Source organism: Homo sapiens, chromosome 7 (genome assembly GCF_000001405.40).
Source record: "Homo sapiens chromosome 7, GRCh38.p14 Primary Assembly".
Classification (NCBI taxonomy): Eukaryota; Metazoa; Chordata; class Mammalia; order Primates; family Hominidae; genus Homo; species Homo sapiens.
The window spans coordinates 22,375,431-22,378,733 of NC_000007.14; the positions used below are offsets into that span (position 1 = coordinate 22,375,431).

At 42.3% G+C, this 3,303-nt stretch overlaps 2 annotated features.

Moving 5' to 3' along the window:
• Nucleotides 2,943-3,087: an enhancer, noted in NCBI's record as "145 bp enhancer 142 fragment used in the MPRA reporter construct; PK_construct_1753". NCBI's record gives its function as "activates an SV40 promoter by MPRA in HepG2 cells {active_cell/tissue: HepG2}" and the evidence as "EXISTENCE:reporter gene assay evidence [ECO:0000049][PMID:23512712]".
• Nucleotides 3,008-3,021: a transcriptional cis regulatory region, noted in NCBI's record as "HNF4 motif; enhancer activity is reduced when this motif is scrambled". NCBI's record gives its function as "necessary for full MPRA enhancer 142 activity {active_cell/tissue: HepG2}" and the evidence as "EXISTENCE:site-directed mutagenesis evidence [ECO:0005528][PMID:23512712]".

Here is a 3,303-nt window from a genome sequence, read left to right on the forward strand (position 1 = left end):
TCTAGATTTTTGCCTGCTGTGGATAATCAAAAGATCTGGCTGCCCTGGGCCTGCTTGCCTGCCAGATGTGAGTAGCAGCTTCTCTTTCATTAGGTTAGGCTCTCTCCATTTGCTACAGTCCCACCACTCCCCATTTTCTTGCACCAGCTGACCTCACTCACTTAAATTGCCTGCAGGCCCCTGTAAGCAGCTGAGGTTGTGTCACTTGACTGGGAATCATGGTGATTCAGAGGACTAAAAACTGAATGGAATCTGCCTAAATCTTGGCTCTAGCTGTATGATTTGCCTCTCTATACCTCAGTTTTCTCATCGGTTATGTGGGTATAATGGAGTACCAAATCTACAGGAACCACTTCACACGTGTAGATTGCTTAGCACAGCATCTGAATCTTTGAGAGCTCTAAATAGAGGTGGGGTCTTAACCACTGTTGTTGTTCCAGGGTTTTGTTGGTGTGTATGAGTTTGTCTTTGGATAATTACCTCCATTAGAGAAAAATGCCAGTGAGCCCAGGTTTTCAGTTTGGAGCATATTTAGGTGAGTTAGTTTTGCACTGTTCCAAAAGCAGTTCTACAGCTCCCACTCAGCCAAGCCAAGCCATTTCATATATGCATCATTACTCCCAATAGACACCAGGAAAAATAGTCCAAAAAAGCATCTCATTGTTGAAGAGGTGAGTGGCATCTTTTTATCAGACCAGGCACAAACATTTCTCTTAAAAAAAAGTCAAAAACATATCCAGTCTTTATTAAACCATGGATTTATGCGACAGGCACACTTAATCAGAAAAAATAAAACTCTATTCTAAGAGATTAGGTGGCAGACATCAAAATGCCCCTAGTGATAACACTTTAGACAAGATTCAAGTTAGCAAAAGGGCATTACAGTAATACTTTTAACAGTTACATACATGAATCACATATATTCATAATTTTCCTCAGCTAAGAATAACCTGAGTTTACACACAGACAGGGACTGATTTCACGATCGGGGGAGGCAGGTGATAAGGTGTTGGCTGCCAGATTAATCTACCAGGCATTTTAAATTTGCACTGAATAAATCCTACATGGGATGATGAGGACTGGTCTCCCTTAAGAAGTTACATAACCAAAAGTGGCCAGACTGCGGAGGGTACCCTCCTCTGTTCCTTTTGCTGCTGTAGTACATGGGCTGAAAGTAGGGGCCAGGTTTCAACTTCCACTCCTTCTGTTAGCTGTATGTCCTGGGCAAGTCCCTTAACTTATCTATACCTCTGTTTTCCCACCTAAAAAAGGCATTCAGTGATTATCTCTTGCACTGGGCTGTATTGACAATAAAATACAGAGTGCTTGGCACAGTACCTGACATATAGTAAGCACTCAATGTTAGCCCTTTATATTGTTATTAATTAAAGGTCAATTGATCACCCCTTTAAACAAAATGCCCAGAGTGTTCACCAGAACTGGAAAGAATTCTGTGTCTTTCTGTTTCTCTCCTGAGCTATCACCTTTGTGCCTGGAAAGGAGGAGGAACATTTGTTTTTCCTTCTCAGTGAAATGCAGGTTTACAAAGATTAAAAGGGTACATATGGGTTTAGCTTGGAGCGTCCAGATATCGGAACTGCTACAAAAAAAGAAGGCAAAGTTGCAGAATTGAGAAAATGACAGCAATGGTTGACCTCGAGAGAGAGAGAGAAAGAGAGAGAAGACAGAGGAAACTCAGTAATTACGTTAGTCTTTCCTGTCATCCCAGCAAATGCAGAAGATGCAAATGTTGTAGTCATTATCGGGTACCCAAAGCTTCATATGGGTGAGCAAAGATGAACATTTTTAGCATCATTTTGAATTACTGAGGTAACATTTATTTGTAGGAACACATGCAGTCAGATTAACATTTCAGCATTTTCAACTAATAATAAACTTTCAAATCAGGTAAAATTAACCCTACCGAGGACGATTTCCTATGACTTAGGGGGAAATTAACAAAATGTATTTCATTCGTGAGCAAGTTTCAATATCTCAATATTCTGGATTTACAACCAGACATGGGAATAATAGGTCCATGGAGACTTTGTTAATTTTTTTTTTCCCGAAGTCAGCTTGAAGAACTCCCTCCCTGTCATGATCAGGAGGTACAGAACCTGGAGCTGAAATCTTGATGGGCCCCAACAGACATGCATGCCTAGCTGATGATTCTCCTCACCTCTCTCTTAACCTGAGGACTCCTGGGCCATTTGGTGGGTAAATTTTATGACTGACACTAATTTATACAGGCTTTAGAAGGGTCCTTTTCTGCCTTGCAGCCTCTTGTCAGGAGACTGGAGCATCGGGGCTGTGGCAGTATAGACTTGAGTAAAATGCAGGGGAGAGGTGCCTTGGGAAATCTAACTTGGAGCAAATGGATCATCTTAGATAAGGGCATTGTTACAGGACTGAATTAAGATGTCAGCTGAATCTGGGTACAGGCTGTCCTTCCCCTGCCAGAGGAAGCTGTCCCTCTGCTGGGAAATAGCCAGGGATTCAGTAATGAGAGAGAGGCTGAGACGCTTGCTGGACAACAAGAAGGGAAGCAGGCACCTCTAGAGACAATAATTAGCAACCAGAAGTGAACAGACCAGGGAAGAGGAAAAAATAGCCCAGGCACTTGATTTTGCTTACCTTTTCCTATTGTTTTCTGAAAATCACACTGATGATCATTGTACTTGAATCTACAGGGCTTGATTGGCCTATTCATCTAGCAATTACAGTTTTGAGGGCTTTATACTTTTGTCTTAAGTTCCTGTAATATAAGCGGCAGGCATGGGTTTAGTTACTGCCTGGGCAGCCTCCTGTCCAGCATGGGGGATCTTGGAAGGAACCTCCCAGGACTTAACCAGGATGTCTGAGAAAGGCAGAGAGGGAGTCCTTTCCACAGTTCTACTGGGAGACTGGGAATGTAAATTCATGCCACTCACTACAAACGCTGAGAAGCTCCTGAGCATTGCATTTGCTTATGAAACATGCTCTCGACTTGATCAAATGAAAAACGATGTGAACTCTGCCCATGGGTTATTTACCCAGCAGTGAATGCTCCGAGTGTCTGAGTTTCTACTACCATGGAAGTCCCCGTGGGCCTTGGGCTCTTTTTCTCTGAATGTAAATAAGCCTGGTACCTTTGCATTTGTCCTCATATGTCATATATATATATATTTTTTTTTTTTTTTTTTTGAATGACAGAATCATCTGAGAGGCTGTGCTCTGGGAAGCCAGCTCCTGAGGCCAGGGGTCAGCAAATTCCAGCTCACAGGCCAAATCCAGCCTGCTGCTTTTTTTTTTAAAAATAAAGTT